This window comes from Homo sapiens, chromosome 13 (assembly GCF_000001405.40).
Source record: "Homo sapiens chromosome 13, GRCh38.p14 Primary Assembly".
Lineage (NCBI taxonomy): Eukaryota > Metazoa > Chordata > Mammalia > Primates > Hominidae > Homo > Homo sapiens.
Genome location: NC_000013.11, coordinates 60,916,161 through 60,931,558, shown reverse-complemented (window position 1 = coordinate 60,931,558; position 15,398 = coordinate 60,916,161). Strand labels below are relative to the sequence as shown.

General features: G+C 36.7%; 1 long non-coding RNA gene across 1 annotated transcript in view; it reads right to left on the bottom strand.

The window, feature by feature from the left end:
* The window catches only part of LINC01442 (long intergenic non-protein coding RNA 1442), a 29,201-nt gene extending 14,397 nt beyond the window's left edge, over positions 1-14,804 (bottom strand). Inside the window, exon 1 of the long non-coding RNA NR_184201.1 lies at positions 14,321-14,804. This is a non-coding gene — a long non-coding RNA (long intergenic non-protein coding RNA 1442). The remainder of the gene's footprint in view (positions 1-14,320) is intronic.
* Between the last annotated feature and the right edge of the window lie 594 nt (positions 14,805-15,398).

Genomic DNA, 15,398 nt, shown 5'->3' with positions numbered 1-15,398 from the left:
AATTATTTAATAGTTGCATGAGTATAAATATAGATTTTTAAGTAGGGAAAATCAATAATTTTGTATTTGATCAATATTTTTATATCCCACAAATGTATGTAATATACCTCAGAATTCTGATAGTATTGTACAATTGATTCTTGAACAACTTGATTTTGAACTATGTGGGTCCACTTGCACATGAGTTTTTTCAATAAATATATATATAAATTTAATATATAAATATATTTCATATGATATATAATACATTTTATATAATATAAAAATATATAAATTTTTTGGAGATTTACAACAATTTGAAAAATGTTGCACACAGAACACCTAGCCTAGGAATATCAAAAAAGAAAAAGGTAAGTATGCATTAATGCACAAAATCTATGTAGATATTAATCTATTTTATCATCTACTATCATAAAATACACACAAATCCACTATACAAAGTTAGAATTTATTGAAACATGCACCCAAACACAAACTGTACATGGCACCATTCATGGTGGAGAGAAATGTAAACAAACGTAAAGATGCAGTATTAAATCATGACTGCATAAAATTAACTGTAGTACATACTGTACAACAGTAATCAATTCATAGCCACTTCCTTTTGTTCTTGCAGTGAGCTCAAGTGTTGCAAGTATCCATTTAAAATACTTCGTGACACTAATCATTTCTGCATGAGGAGTTCATTCCTCTAATAAATTGCAGTAAAAAGGGATCTCTTGTGTTTCTCATGTATTTTTCATTTTGTTTAGTGCAATACTTTCAACCTTGCCTAACAACATGGAACACATACGAAGTGCCACTAGTGATGCTGGAAGTGCTTCCGAGAAGCAGAGAAGTCATGGCGTTGCAAAAAAAAGCTGAATTGCTTGATATGTACCATAGACTGAGATTTGCAGCTGCAGTTACCTGCCATTTCAGAGATTCATCTTGTAAACAAATGACTAAACTTGTGGTATCAATAAATACAATACAGTACTAAAATATATTTCCTCTTATGATTTTCTTCATAACATTTTCTTTTCTCTAGCTTTCTTTATGGTAAAAATATACTATATAATACATATAAATTGCAAAATATTTGTTAATTGATTAATTGGTAAGGCTTTTGGGCAACATGGTCTATTAGTAGTTAAGTTTGTGGGGAGTCAAAAGTTCTATGTAGATTTTCAAGTGTTGAGGATCAGTACCCCAATCCCCATTTTGTTAAAGAGACAATTTTATTTACAATTCTATTATAAAGTACATTCATTTCAATGCTAATCAAGTTGATTTCAAGAATTATTGGTGCTAAATAAGTATAAATATCATATTAAAATTTGACCTTAAAATAAGGTGAAATCTATGCCTCCATAACTTTTATTCATTGCTATTAGCTCTGCCCTCTGAAGAAGCATTCTTTCTTTCATTGAGTAATCCAATACGATTCTTCCTTTGGCAGCTCTTCAAGTACCATCAGAAAATGTCTCCTTAGTAGCTGCCCACATCAGGTCGTGTTTTTCCTCAGTTTAGTTTACTTTACCTTATAAAAACATTGAGAGTCTACAGTACACTAGGAGTTATTCTGCACACTAAAAACAAAAAGAATGAAACACAATCCCTGACTGCAGAAAGATTAATTTAATGGGAAGGCAGATGAAGACAGAGAAACTTAATACAAAATAAAATTATTGAGTTGGGACAGTTCTAGGAATGAGACACACCTACCCTTATTATTCTTCATGATTATCCTTCCCAGCCTTTTACTTTCCTTTTACCTTCTTTTGTATACCCTGCAGCACAGAGGTTCTCAATCAGGGCAATTTTGCCTTCCAGGAGATGTTTGGCAATGTCTGGACATTTTTGTTGTCTTTCTGGGTGGGAACATGGAAGTTCTAGTGGCATCTAATGGATAAAGGCCAGCAACATGCTAAAAATTCTCAGGAGACTGCCCCTGCCACCCTCAACAAAGAATTATCTGATCAAAATGTTCCATAGCTTGAGAAACCCTACCTAGCTTTTTTTTTTTTTTTTTTTTTTTGGGACAGGGCGTTGCTCTGTCGCCCAGGCTGGACTTCATGATCATGGCTCACTGCAGTTCAGCCTCCTGTGCTCAAGCAATCCTTTCTCCTGGGCATCCCAAAGTGCTGGAATTGTAGGTGTGAGCCACCGCACCAGACCCCTACCTAGCTTTTCAATGTCCTTTGTAAAGTGTGGAATTTAGCTTAAAAAAAGGACACATAATTCTAGCTGTCATCTGACCAATTTGAATACGAACAACCTTTATATTGCTGAATCTACGCTTTGCACCTGAATTAATTAGCCTAAAATGGAACTTAAAAAATTGAATATCCATTCACAGTATTGGCACACAAGGAACTTATAAAACTACTACATTGTTCAATTTTTTTCCATATAAATTGTTTTGTTCATTTTTACCTACAGTTCTAGCCTACTGAGAACTTCTGAACCTAATTTAGCTATTGTCAAGTTTCATATGTTCGACTTTTACATCTTTATCCAAATACTGGCAAAAACATCAAGAAGACTAAACCCTATATTATTAAACTGCAAAAGTAACTTGAAAGCTTGAAATTGGTCAAGAAAACAAGACTCCTAGGAACAGATTTTCAATAATGAGTCTGCTACATGACACGAACATTATTACTTGCCCCCATAAACAATGCTGTGGGAGTATGGGTTAGTCAGGGTTCTCCAGAGAAACAGAACCAATAAGTATATATATACACATATATATGTGTGTGTGTGTGTGTGTATATGTATACACACATACATACATATATATACACATACATACATATATACACATACATATATATATATATACACATGGGAATTGGCTTACATGTTGGAGGGAATGGTATAAGTCCCAGAGTCCGACGACCCCATAACAAGAACCTCCTATCCAAGGGCAGGAGAATCTGGATGTCTCAGCTCGAGAAGATAGACTTTGCTCTCCTTCTGCACTTTTGTTCTATTTAAGCAGATTGACTAACGTTGAACCACATTAATGAGAGCAATCTTCTTTACTTAGTCTATTGATTCAAATGTTAATCTTTTTCAGAAATGCTCTCAAAGATACACTTAGGAGGAATGTATACCAGTTACGTGAGCATCCCTTAGTTTAGTCAGATTGACATATTAAACTAACCATCATGGAATAAATAGTATTAGATTCATTTCCCAGCTAAAGACACTGAGGTTCTGTGAGACTAGGGGACACACCGAGGGACACACAGCAAGTAAGTGAGCAGGAAGGATTGTTATACCACCTACATATAATTTCAAACACCATGAACAGTCTTTCTAGTACACTGTTTCAAAAAACAACAACCAGATGCCAATATTGAGTACGTACAACAAAGCTTTACCTATGTAGCTAATCTTCACAACACGTTTGCAATCCAGGCATTACTGCATTCATGTTACAGAGGTGGAAACACTGAAGGTTTAGAACAGCTGTGATTTGACCGTAGGCATGTAACTACTAAAAATCAGACCTACAATTCATGCCTCATTCATGTGGCCCTAACACTGCCACATTGCCTCCCACCAGAGGCCATATATCCACTTACTACACAGCCAGCCGGTCCTCATTTCCCTTTTGTACAAAGAGTTGTCCTGGAGTCTCTTTGCCAGATGTTTTCTAGAATAGCAGTATATTTTGCTTTTGCTTATTGAGACTCTTATCACATTCATGTATTTAGGAAGAATGTAAGTTTATGGGTAGGTGATTTTTAAAAATTCCAGGGAAAACCATAGAAGCAGTCTAGTTCTTCACTCATCATTAAAACATACGGAAAGAAGCTATCAATTTTCCCATATGCTAGAAAAAACAAATGTAAAATCTCTTCTGCCTTTAAATGTTCCACACTTATAGCATTATACTTGGAAAAGTTAAGATTTATTTTATATCTAGTTAAAATTATGCCTTGGCCGGGCACAGAGGCTCACCCCTGTAATCCCAGCACTTTGGGAGGCCGAGGCAGATGAATCACCTGAAGTCAGGATTTTGAGACAGCCTAACTTGGTGAAACCCCGTCTCCACTAAAAATAGAAAAATTAGCTGGACCTGGTGGCAAGCGCCTGTAATCCCAGCTAGTCAGGGGCCTGAGGTAGAAGAATCACTTGTACCCAGGAGGCGGAGGTTGCAGCGAGCCGAGATAGTGCCACTGCACTGGCAGGTGCCAGTCCGGGTGACAGAGTGAGAGTGAGACTCTGTCTCAAAAAAAAAAATTAAAATAAAATAATACTTTAAAAATACCGATGGAGGGTGAGTTTAAAATTGAAGTTCAAAAGAGATAAGGCAAATATTATAAAATATTAATACATTTTAATATAAGTGATGGATATATGGGTATAATGTTATTTTTTTCTACCCTTAGTGTGGTTGAAATTTTTTATAATAAAAAGTAAAACAAAATATAATGTTCATGATTTGATAATACTTGTCTTCTCTTTAGAAAGTGATTTTCTTTAAACTATTTTTATCGTTCATTAATTCAGTTCAATATAATTTACTCCAAAATATTTTTCTCAAATGTAATTTTTAAAAATCATTAGATCTCAACCTTTAAAAGATAATCAGAATCCCAATAAAACCCTCACTAGAGTCAAATCATAAAATCCGCCATTTTTACTTTCAAGACTTACTAAATATGCTGTCTTTGAGTACAACATTAAATTCGTATTTGATTTACTATCAAATGCAGCGTGCTTCAATTTCATTTTAGATCCCTCACATTTAAACCACATTTAACAGGGCTGAAAGCTGTTGCTGAGGTTGACAAGTGTTGGCATAACAAGTAAATGAGACAACGGTCATTTTTACATATATGAATTATTTGACAGTATTATGAGTCAGGCATACCCTGAAATGATAGTTACTTATTGAGCTCACTGTTAAGTAAAGTGAACTACTCCTGCAGTGAGTTCAAAGGAGAGGTATAAAAAAATCTGCCTTTTGGTTTTTCTAAAACCTTTCCAGTTTTTGTAATATTTTCTTTAAAAAGGAAACACTGCCAAAAAATAATAAAAGACCCTTCATAGGTATTTCATCACTAGAGGCTGCTCCAGATGGTAGCAAGGTGTCTGCAGGTAATTCCCCTGTCTCATGCATGTGAGGCAGAGAGCATATTTTCACAGAACCTTGAAATAGGCATTAGCAGAGAAATGACTTAGCTGATCATGCACTACGTAAGTATGACTGCTTCCCAAGACCAAACATCAGACAGAGCGTCACACCAGGAAAGGGCCAAAACTACTGTGTCAGTATTGTAGAGCTCTGATTCTATTCCTAATTCTGAAGAGGGGATTGAAAAATACTTTACGCAAATAATAGCTATCTTTTCTTAAGAGCTCACTATGCTAAGCCCTTTATGTACAATAACTCCTAACATCCTCATTACTATTTGTGACGGTTAATTTTATGTATCAAAGTTGAATGAGTTGACTGCATAAAGCAGATGGCCCTCCATAAGGGGAGTGAACCCCATCTATCCCTTGAAGATCTGAATAGAACGAAAAGACTGACCCTCCCCCAGAGTAATAGAGAATTCCTCCTGCTTGACCACCTTCAAATGTGAACATCGGTTTTTTCCTGACTTAGGACTCAAACAGCATTGGCTCTTGCTGCGTCTTGAGCTTGCTATTTTCCAGGCTGGAATTACTTCATTGGCTCTCCTGGGTCTCTGGCTTGCCAACCTACCCTGAAGATCTTGGGACTTAGCCTTTATAATGATATGAGTTCATTCCTTATAAAAAATATCTTTATTTATTATAACATATGCATTCTTTTGATTCTCTGGAGAACCCTGATAAACAAACCATATATTATAAAGTAATACATTTATTCCTATTTTTCCTGTTAAGAATATTAAGGATTGTAGCGTGTATATTTCTTTTCATAGGTTTCCTTCCCTGCTAGACTATAAGCTCCTCCAGGATAAGTATTTTTGTCTGTTTCATTCACTGATGAGTCCTAAGTGCCTAGGATAATGTGTTTCATAGTAGGAGTTCAGTTTGTTAACCAAATGAATAAATTCACCTGGAAAGTGACAGAGCTAGAGCTGGAAATGAGGTGTGGCTACTGCCCAGATCTGTTCTTTTAACCTGTATTATGAAATGTCTCTTAGATTTCCTTGATATTTTCAGAAGGCAATCTTCAAAAGAATAGTCCTTTTTAGAAAATTACTGGCCTATTTGAGTTCAGTCTTAAAGCTATTAAATCCTGATAGAGGATAAAATCAGGATCCCAAAATATCCCAATGGGTGGAACACTGGACTTGCAAGATGAAATTTAATTAGGAAAAAAAAAAAGTAAAGTCTTTTTATTCCAAACAGCAACTAAACTTATATAGACGTCAAAGGCGTAGCTTAGCAAGAGAATAAATAAAAAAGTCCCTGGAGGATTAATTGACAGGGAGCTTGATATACATCAAGCACTGAACAGTGGTTGCCAAAAAAGCTAATGCAATTCTTGGCTACATTAATAGAATATTTTGTCCAGATCAAGGGAAATAATAATTCCATTCAATTATGCCTCTATATCAAACCACATCTAAGCCACACACTTCAAGAAGAGAGGTAAACTGGAGTACATTCAAAGGAGAGTCACCAAAAAGATGAAGAGATTCAAAGTCATGTTATACAAAGATTAGCTAAAGGAGCAGAAGATGATTGCCAGAAAAGTCAGCAAACATCTGAGATGTCTTCAACATTTGTAAGGCTGTTATGTCTAAAAGATATTATTATTTTTTCCTAACTGGCCCCAGAATGGACTTTGGCCTAAGTAATGAAAAGTTAATGTTATAGTATACTGTCTCATTTTTCCAAAAGTGATATTGACAACATCATGACAATAGTTAAGATCTCACTCTCTGGTTGTTCAAAACTGACAAAGCTACAGTTTATACTTAGTTGGTAGGTTAGCTTCAGATGAACTGCTGGAGTAGAAGACCTTTATGGTTCCTTCTAGACATAAATATTATGATGCTCTAACAGAATATTAAAGCTAAAGGTAAAGTGGTCAGAATGAGAAAAAATACACTGAAATCTATTGTATGGTTAATAGCATCAGCACTGTGTAGAAAGCATCCACTTACATTATGTCATTGAAACTGCATTGTCCCAGAATCAGTGAGTAAGAAAACTAGAGATTCCTATGATTCCAAATATCTTTCCCCCAAAAGGGAAAACTTCTTGTTTGGTGACTGCTGACACTTTTCAGTTGTGCTTATCAAACCATGAGTGATCCTTTCCACAGGGGGCTGTTGGTGCCAATATACATGTAGCCACCCAGGAAAGAAAATGTGCCTCTACCTGAGACCGTAAGGATCACTTGCATCAGAGATACAGCCTGTCTCATTCCATTAGGATCCTCTATATTTTGATCTACACTATGACTGTTAAAAGAAAGTAACATCAATATTATAAAATTATCTGAGTATGACAATCTTTTAAAATTTTATTGCACCCAAGGTTTGCATAAAATATGAGATTTTATATAATCTATTTCTGATAGTAATGCCAAGAAAAGTTTATAATAAAGCATCACTTCAAAGAATTTAGAATATTAGTCTAATCGTACATTCTTTCTTTACTAACTATGATTTATTTAATAAGCCACTGTGTTTAGTTATTCTAAATTCTATATAAGCAACAGTGTTTAGTTAGTCTAAGTTCATTCAGCCTGTATAATCAATGTTCAAAATCCTTCTGGGGCTTTTCACCTCATTTGGAGTAAAAAAAAACAAAAAGTGCTTGAAATGGCCAGGACAGCTTTATACAATGGGCCTCCTTTATACAATGGGCCTCCTCTTTGACCTCTCCTTGGTCTGCTCTACCCTGTCTTGCTCGGCTTCAGCTCCACTGGCCTCTTGGCTAGTTGTTGACTAATTCCTACCTCTGATTACTTGCTGTTCTACTGCATGGGATGCTCATCCCCCCGCAGAGGACTGAATCCTAAGCTCTTCAGGTCTCGAATAAAATGTCACCTTCTCAGTAAAGCCTTCTTTGCTCCCCCTGTTTAAAATTACAGCCCCTCTATAGAAGCTTCCTATATCCCTTACCTGGCTTTATATTTTTCCCCAGAGATTAAAAAAAATTTACATTGTATGTATTTTATTTTGCAGAAGTGCTTTTATTCACTGCTACGTTCCAGAGTCTAGAATGAATGCTTGCTGAATAAATGAGCAAGCAAACAAATGGTGGTCTTTACTTTTGGAAAAAACCTCATGTAACTTCACTCTTAAAGATGGTGTGATGCATTGTGTTTGCTACCCCTGTATAAAACTTCTCACTTAACATTATGTAGACACCTCTAAAAAATGTCTTGGAGACCATAAAGAAAAAATGATTAATATGTAATAATATCTCTAAGATTTAAAAGAAATAATATAATTTGGGTCTTTTCTACATACTCTAACAACATAATTACAGAGATATATGGTGGCTTTCTGTTAAAAAACATTGCTAAGAGATAGACATAGTAGATTAGGTAATGCATATTTTAGCCTTATGATCATAGTCTTTCCAAAGAGTGAGAGAAAAAAAAGTCTTATTCGTTTCCTCACTTAGAAAATGTGCCCTCAGAAATATTTCCACCCTTATTATTAAATGCATTTTCCAATTCCTCTAGATAGAGCCCAGTGCCAGGTGGTAGGAATATAGGTTGAACAAGTGAACAAGAAAGTCCTGACCTGAAAGGGCTTCTGATTCTAGTTGGGGAGAGGAAAAAAAGAAGAGATTCATACTAACAGCTGTCGCCTTGGAGTACGCAGAAATACCGCCAACATTCTTACAGATGAATGATACACAAGAGGATCTGAAAGATTGTAGTGGAAACAGAACTTTGAATAATTGAGAAGGGATTATGAGTGGATGAAACACATCCGTATTCGTTATAACTTGTTCTTAGTTGTTAGCTATTTCCTCTAGTGCCTCTGAAGGATTAAAAAGGTTATCAAGACAGAGTGTCACAACTGATAAGTGTTTTAACCCTTACTGTGACCTGGCTGACAGCAACTGTGAAATCTTAATAGTATCAAATTGTAGTGCTGTAGCATGCTACACTATTTCATTCTTTTATTCCCCATGACTAAAGAACTTGAGGATATTTTTTATTGGTGTCACTACGGTGATAATATGTGATGCTGTGACATTATGAAGGTTTATTTTACATAATTTTCAATCTCTACTTTTAAATCTCTCACTTAGTCATACTTTCAGATCTTCATCTAAAATTCTCACCTTCTCAAGTTCATTTCCTAGTCAATCCAGTTATAGAAAGCAAATGCCTAAAGCACCATTCAGTAAAGCCAAGATAGGCATATTGGTTTTAAGTTACATCCGCTTCTCCAAGGAAATACCAGAATCACAATTTAGAATCAACACATTTTTTTTGTTCATGAATTTAGGTATGCATTTTGCTTGATTGGATCATGCCAACAGGTTGACATTATTTTAGGCTGCTTTAAAATGCCAATGATCTGAGGAAAAAAACATGATTATTTTACCCTTTCATGACATGGAATAAGAATCAATGGTTTAATTTTGTTTGGCCTATCCTACTACACATCCTGTATGTAGCAAACCGTAGTTCCAGGATTTTATAAGAGTCATCAAAGGCTGTGGAGAGAGTAAAGCCAGCCGTTGCTGCTTAACAGCACCTGTCAGGGAACGTTATGTTGCCAGCATATATGCACCTTCCCTGCATTAACAAAGCTTGCAGAGATGAATACAACATGAGCTTCAAAGGTAATAGATGCTGCATTTTGATAAGGTTTTAATGGACATGGACATTTCAACGAAGCTATAATGGGTGACAGCTTAAATTCAGGATCTGAGAAAGCCTTTAATTAAGATTTATAAGGCCAGCTACTGGAAGCAAATATAAAATTATGGTTAGACATGGTGAAAAAGGAAGATGACTGATGGTCCCAGTGCTTTATAACTAACCCTCATGCTAACTTAGATGATTTCATAACATTTCCAAATATGGAGAGTTTTGTAGCTCTGTGTCACAGGAGATAGGGAGGAACAACTCTGAAATTGCCCAGCCCAGATCCAGAGTATTAACAAGTGACAGGCTCTTTGTGTGGGTGATGAATACCAATACCACAGTGTCCCACTGGCTTCTGATGACCAGAAACTATTATTCCCAGCAGCAGCAATGCCCAACAGAGTTTTAGGCTCATACCCTATAATGTCAAATAGGCCTCTAAGCCTCTTCCCTATCCTCTGTTGTCCAAAAGCAGGTTCAAAACTGCCTGTGCAATCACCAGTGGAAATAACACTTCTACAGATCCAGTTTAGTATCAGTGCTGTCACTCTTCTTCAGAGACAGCTCAAAAGAGGTGACCACAGCCTCACTGAAAGAGCATTTAGAGTGTAGTGTTAGCAACATTCACTATACAAAGAGTCCACATGTTTCTTTCTACAGCTGGGAGATCATAAGGAAAAGGCATAATGTGTATACTTTTGATAGGATCATGTTGAATGAGTGGCCTTTATTTCAACCCAAAAGAAGCCAGTGCCAAGAAGGCAAAATGACTGTAAAAACTGAGAAATATAAGTGGGAGCTAAATGCTGAGTATACATGGTCATATAAATGGAAACAAAGGCACTGGGGAGGACTATCAGGAAAGGAGGGAGGGGGACATGGGATGAACAACTACCTCTTGGGTATAATGCTCATCACCTGGATGACAGGATCATCCGTACCCCAAACCCTAGCATCACACAATATGCCCATGTAACAAACCTGCACATGTACCCTCTGAATCTAAAATAAAAGTTGAAATTATAATTTTTTTTGAAATACTGAAAAAATTCTGTGCACTAATTTCCACTATCCTCAAGCTATAGTAAAAGTTTCTTTGTGTATCTTAGAATCATAGAATCTCAAGCTGGGAAGGACACTAACATATCTTGTTTAAAGACATTTTGGATCATAAATAATTCTACAAACTGAAATTAAGTACAATGTCTTAAGCCCATAATATGTTCAATGCAATAGCTTTTTCTGCCAAGATATGGTTTATGTTTTTAAGTAAAATTACGGCTGTGGAGAGGACAGTATAACCACATAAAACAGATGTTAATTGTTAATTTCATTTCAAATAATTAAGGTAACAGAGTTAGATATCAGAATTATAGTGCTTAAACTTGGGCAGAAGTTAGAATTAGTAAATCTAAAGATTAGCATGCAGCTACTCAATATATTTTCATAGGTACAATGAAGATAATAGAATACTTTTATTGTTTATACAGATCAGTTGATAATGAAGACAAAATATTTAGCAAATACAATTTACTTTTTTACTCAACAAGCACAAATTCAACACATTTCCTACATTGCAGTGTCATACACAACCTTCTCTCAGAACATCTTATTGTACTTATTTGCCTACAGACTAATTCTTCAATTAGTCTACAGCTTTGCTGCTATGGTCTGAATGTGTCTCCCAAAATTCATATGTTAGAAACCTAATCCCACTGCAACAGTGTTGGAAGGTGGGGCCTTTGGGGAGGCATTCAGTTCATGAAAGCTCCACTCTCACTTATGCATTCATGCTGTAATCAAAGGGCTTGATGGAAGGCATCTGTCTCTCTGTTCCCTTCTGCCTTCTGCCATGTGAGGACACAGTGTACCAGCCTTCTGGTGGGTATGGCATTCAAGGCGTCATCTTGGAAGTCGATTGCAGTCCTCACCAGATGCTGGTACCTTGATCTTGGACTTTCAAGCCTCCAGAATAATGAGAAATAAATTTTTGTTCTTTGTAACTTACTCTATGGTATTCTGTTACAGCAAAGACAAAAATTAGTACCAGAGAAGTGGGGTGTTACAAATACCTAAAAATGTGGAAGTGACTAAATAATGGATAGAGGCTGGAACTCTTTTGAAGTGAATACTGGAAAAAGCCTATGTTTTCATGAACAGAGCAGTAAGAGTGATTCTGGTAAGAGCTCAGAAGAAGAGGAAAGCTGCAGCCCCAATCTTCTTAGAGATAACCTACATTGTTGTGAACACAATGCTGGTAGAAATATGACAAGTAAAGGATACTCTAATGAGGTGTTAGACAGAAGTAAGGAATATCTTACTGAAAACTGGGAGAAAGGCTAGCCTTGATACAAAATGAAAAAGAAGTTGGCTGAACAATGTCAATATCCCACAACTTTGTGGAAGGCAGAACTTAAGAGCAATGAGCTAGAATATTTAAAAAGAGAAATCTCTAAGCAGCAGTGTTTACTGCTTATAGTCAAATGTGAGAACAGAGAATGATTCAAAGACAGAATTTATAATTAAAAGAGAAACAGTATGAAAAGATTTGGAAAATTCTCAGCCTGGCTTTGTGGAGAATTAAAAACTATGCTTAGGAGAGAAAACCAAGGGTGTGGCCCAATGACCATTTATTAAGGAGATTAGTGTGGACGGAAGGAAGCCAGTGCTACTCATCAAGACAATGAGAAATTGACCCCAAAAGCATTGCGGATATCTAGGGCCTTGAGGGCAGAACAGTTTCATAGGAGGGGCCTAGGGTACCCATGGGTCCTTGGAGCTCACTGCCTATGGCCACCTCAAGTCTCTGTTCCCTACATTCCAGCACAGCTCTTCTCAGGCACCAAGCTGTGACTCAAGCAGGACCAGTACAGCTCAGGCTGTCACTCCAAAGGGCACAAACTACAAAACTTGGCAGCATCCAGACAGTTCTAATTCTGCAGGCACACAAAGTGCACAAACTGTGGAGGTATGGCTTTCTGCACGAATATTTCAAAGGATGCTATAGACAGCCTCAGAGTTCCAACCAGAGACCTGCCACAGAGGCAGAGACACTGCAGAAAGACTGCACTAAGACAATATTTAGTGGACCTGTGGAGCGGGACTACCCTTGAGATACCAAAACTGTAGAGTCCCTGGCATGCAGTACCAGCCTGGGAAAGCTGCAGGCATATGACTTCAAGGTATAAGAGCTGATACGTGGGCTATGTCCAACAAAGCCATAGGGATGGAGCTTCATGGGGCCTGGGAACCTCAACCTCCCCATATCCCAGTATGTCCAGAAGGCAGGACATGAAGATAAGATTATTCTCTAGCCTTAAGATTTAATCTTCTTTTTCCTGTTAGGCTTTGGGCTTACTTGGTACCTGTTACCCCTTTTTTCTTTACTATTGCTCCATTTTGGAATAAAATTGTCTATCCTATTCCTGTCTCACTATTACATTTTGGAAGTACATAACTAGTTTGATTTCACAGACTCACAGCTGGAGAGGAATTTGCCTCAGGGTGAATTATACCTTGAGTCTCACCCTCATATTTAGATGTGAGTTTGGACTTAGACTTTTGGGTTGATGTTGGAACAAGTTAAGACTTTTGGGAATATTGAAATGGAATGAATGGATTTTTCATGTGGGAAGAATATAAATTTGGGGGCCAAGCATGAAATTCTATAATCTAAACGTGTTCCGCCAAATTTTTATGTTGGAAACTTAATCCCCAAAGCAACAGTACTGGAAAATGGGTTTTTGGGGGAAGTGTTTATGTTATGAGGGTTCCACCCTCGTGAATGGATCGATGCCATTATAAATGGGCCTGATGGAGGGAGGTTAGTCCTTTTTTGCCCTCTGCCTTCTGCCATGTGAGGACACAGTGCTCCCTCCCTCTTCCCTGATGCAAGGTTCAAGGTGCCATCTTGGAAGTGGAGACCACACCCTCACCAGACACCAAACCTGATAGTGCCTTGATCTTGAATTTTCCAGCCTCCAGAACTGTGAGAAATACATTTCTAGTTTTTACAAATTATTCAGTCTATAATGTTCTGTTATAGCAGCACAAATGGACTAAGATACTTGCCAAAAGCAGAGGTTGTTTCTTAATGATTTTTGAATTTTAGTGACTAAAGCAGTGCCTGGACCATAACAAACAGATAATAAATGTTTTTTGGATGAAGAAGGGATAAAAGGAGGAATAAATGCCAGAACCTGAGCTAGGCTTCCAGGACAATAAGATGATGAACTAACCTGTAATTCATGTACTGCCTTTATATGTTAGTTGGGAAATGGAAATGTAAAAATATATATGCAATTTATATAGTGAGAAAAATATTTTAATAAATGCATAAGAAATATAATCAGAACACCAAGATCAGCAAATAGTCAAGTCCAGGGAAAATTTTCTATGTTCTTTTTAAATTTATTCAACATATATTTATCAGGTATACGTATATACTAGCATTGTTTAGGATACTGTAAATGTCATACTGAACAAAAAATGTATTTGCTGCCCTTGTGAAAAAGTAGTTGAGATATTGTAAAAAGTTACCTGTGCCTACTTGAGGTGATCTCTCCCCTCCATGTCCCTCGCCTTCCCAGCAGTAGAGATTGGAGGAAAATATGAGAAAGAGACCTAAGATAGATGGTGAGGAAGAGACCTACATTTAACTTGTTTGTGCCATAGTATAAATTTTGAGAAGATTTTGGAGACATTAATATTTATTCCATATCTATGCCAAGATTTTCAATCAGCTTTAGCCATAGTAAAGGTATTTTGATCTCCATGTGATTCTCTCCTATATCTTCTGTTTCAATTGGTTCTAAGTTCTAGACCCTTAAACAATTGGTAGTCATGACAATGGGGAGAAATAGAAATATTTAGATTATTTTCTCAAAGTAGTTCTTATTGCTTAACTGAACCGAGGAAAGAAGAGAAAGGATGCTACCATCACTCCTGGCTCTAGCAGCTTGGTGGATAATGATGTCGCAGTGAGACAGGGAAGGCTGGGAAGCAGACTAAGAGCATGACAGCTTTGTTAACAATGATAAGGAACAAGGAGGAGAAGCAGATTTGAGTGAAAGAAGCCATTTTACTTTTCGGCATGTTAAGGTTGAGACATATAAAGCAGCATTTGCATGTGAAATGTTTTCGTATACAATCAGAAAATAGCTCTCTGGAGCCCATAATACTGACTTAAATTTTTTTTTTATGTATAGGCTATATTTGAAATCACCAGGGTAGACAAGATTGTCCAGGTAAAATACATAATGTGAGAATTGAAATTTAGAACTTAAGAGGTCAGCACTAAGGAATGAATAGAGAGAAAGAAACAAACAAAAGAAACTGAAGAGGTTTATTCAGAGATAAATGGAAAGCCACTGAAGAAATGTGGTGGAAATTAACGGAAGACAAACTTTTAAGAAAATAAGGTTGGTTGGCATCAATGAATGTTGGGACCAGTCACTCAATGTGAGATGCCTAAGCATCACTTTGACTTTTTAATTAGGGAAATGCCAGAGGCCTTAACAAGGGGAGAGATGAGAGTTGAGTAGTGAATGGTGTTAAAGGAATAGTTGAGGAAATTTGGACTCAATCAGGAGAAAATAAGGACCAGACAGGAGCATTT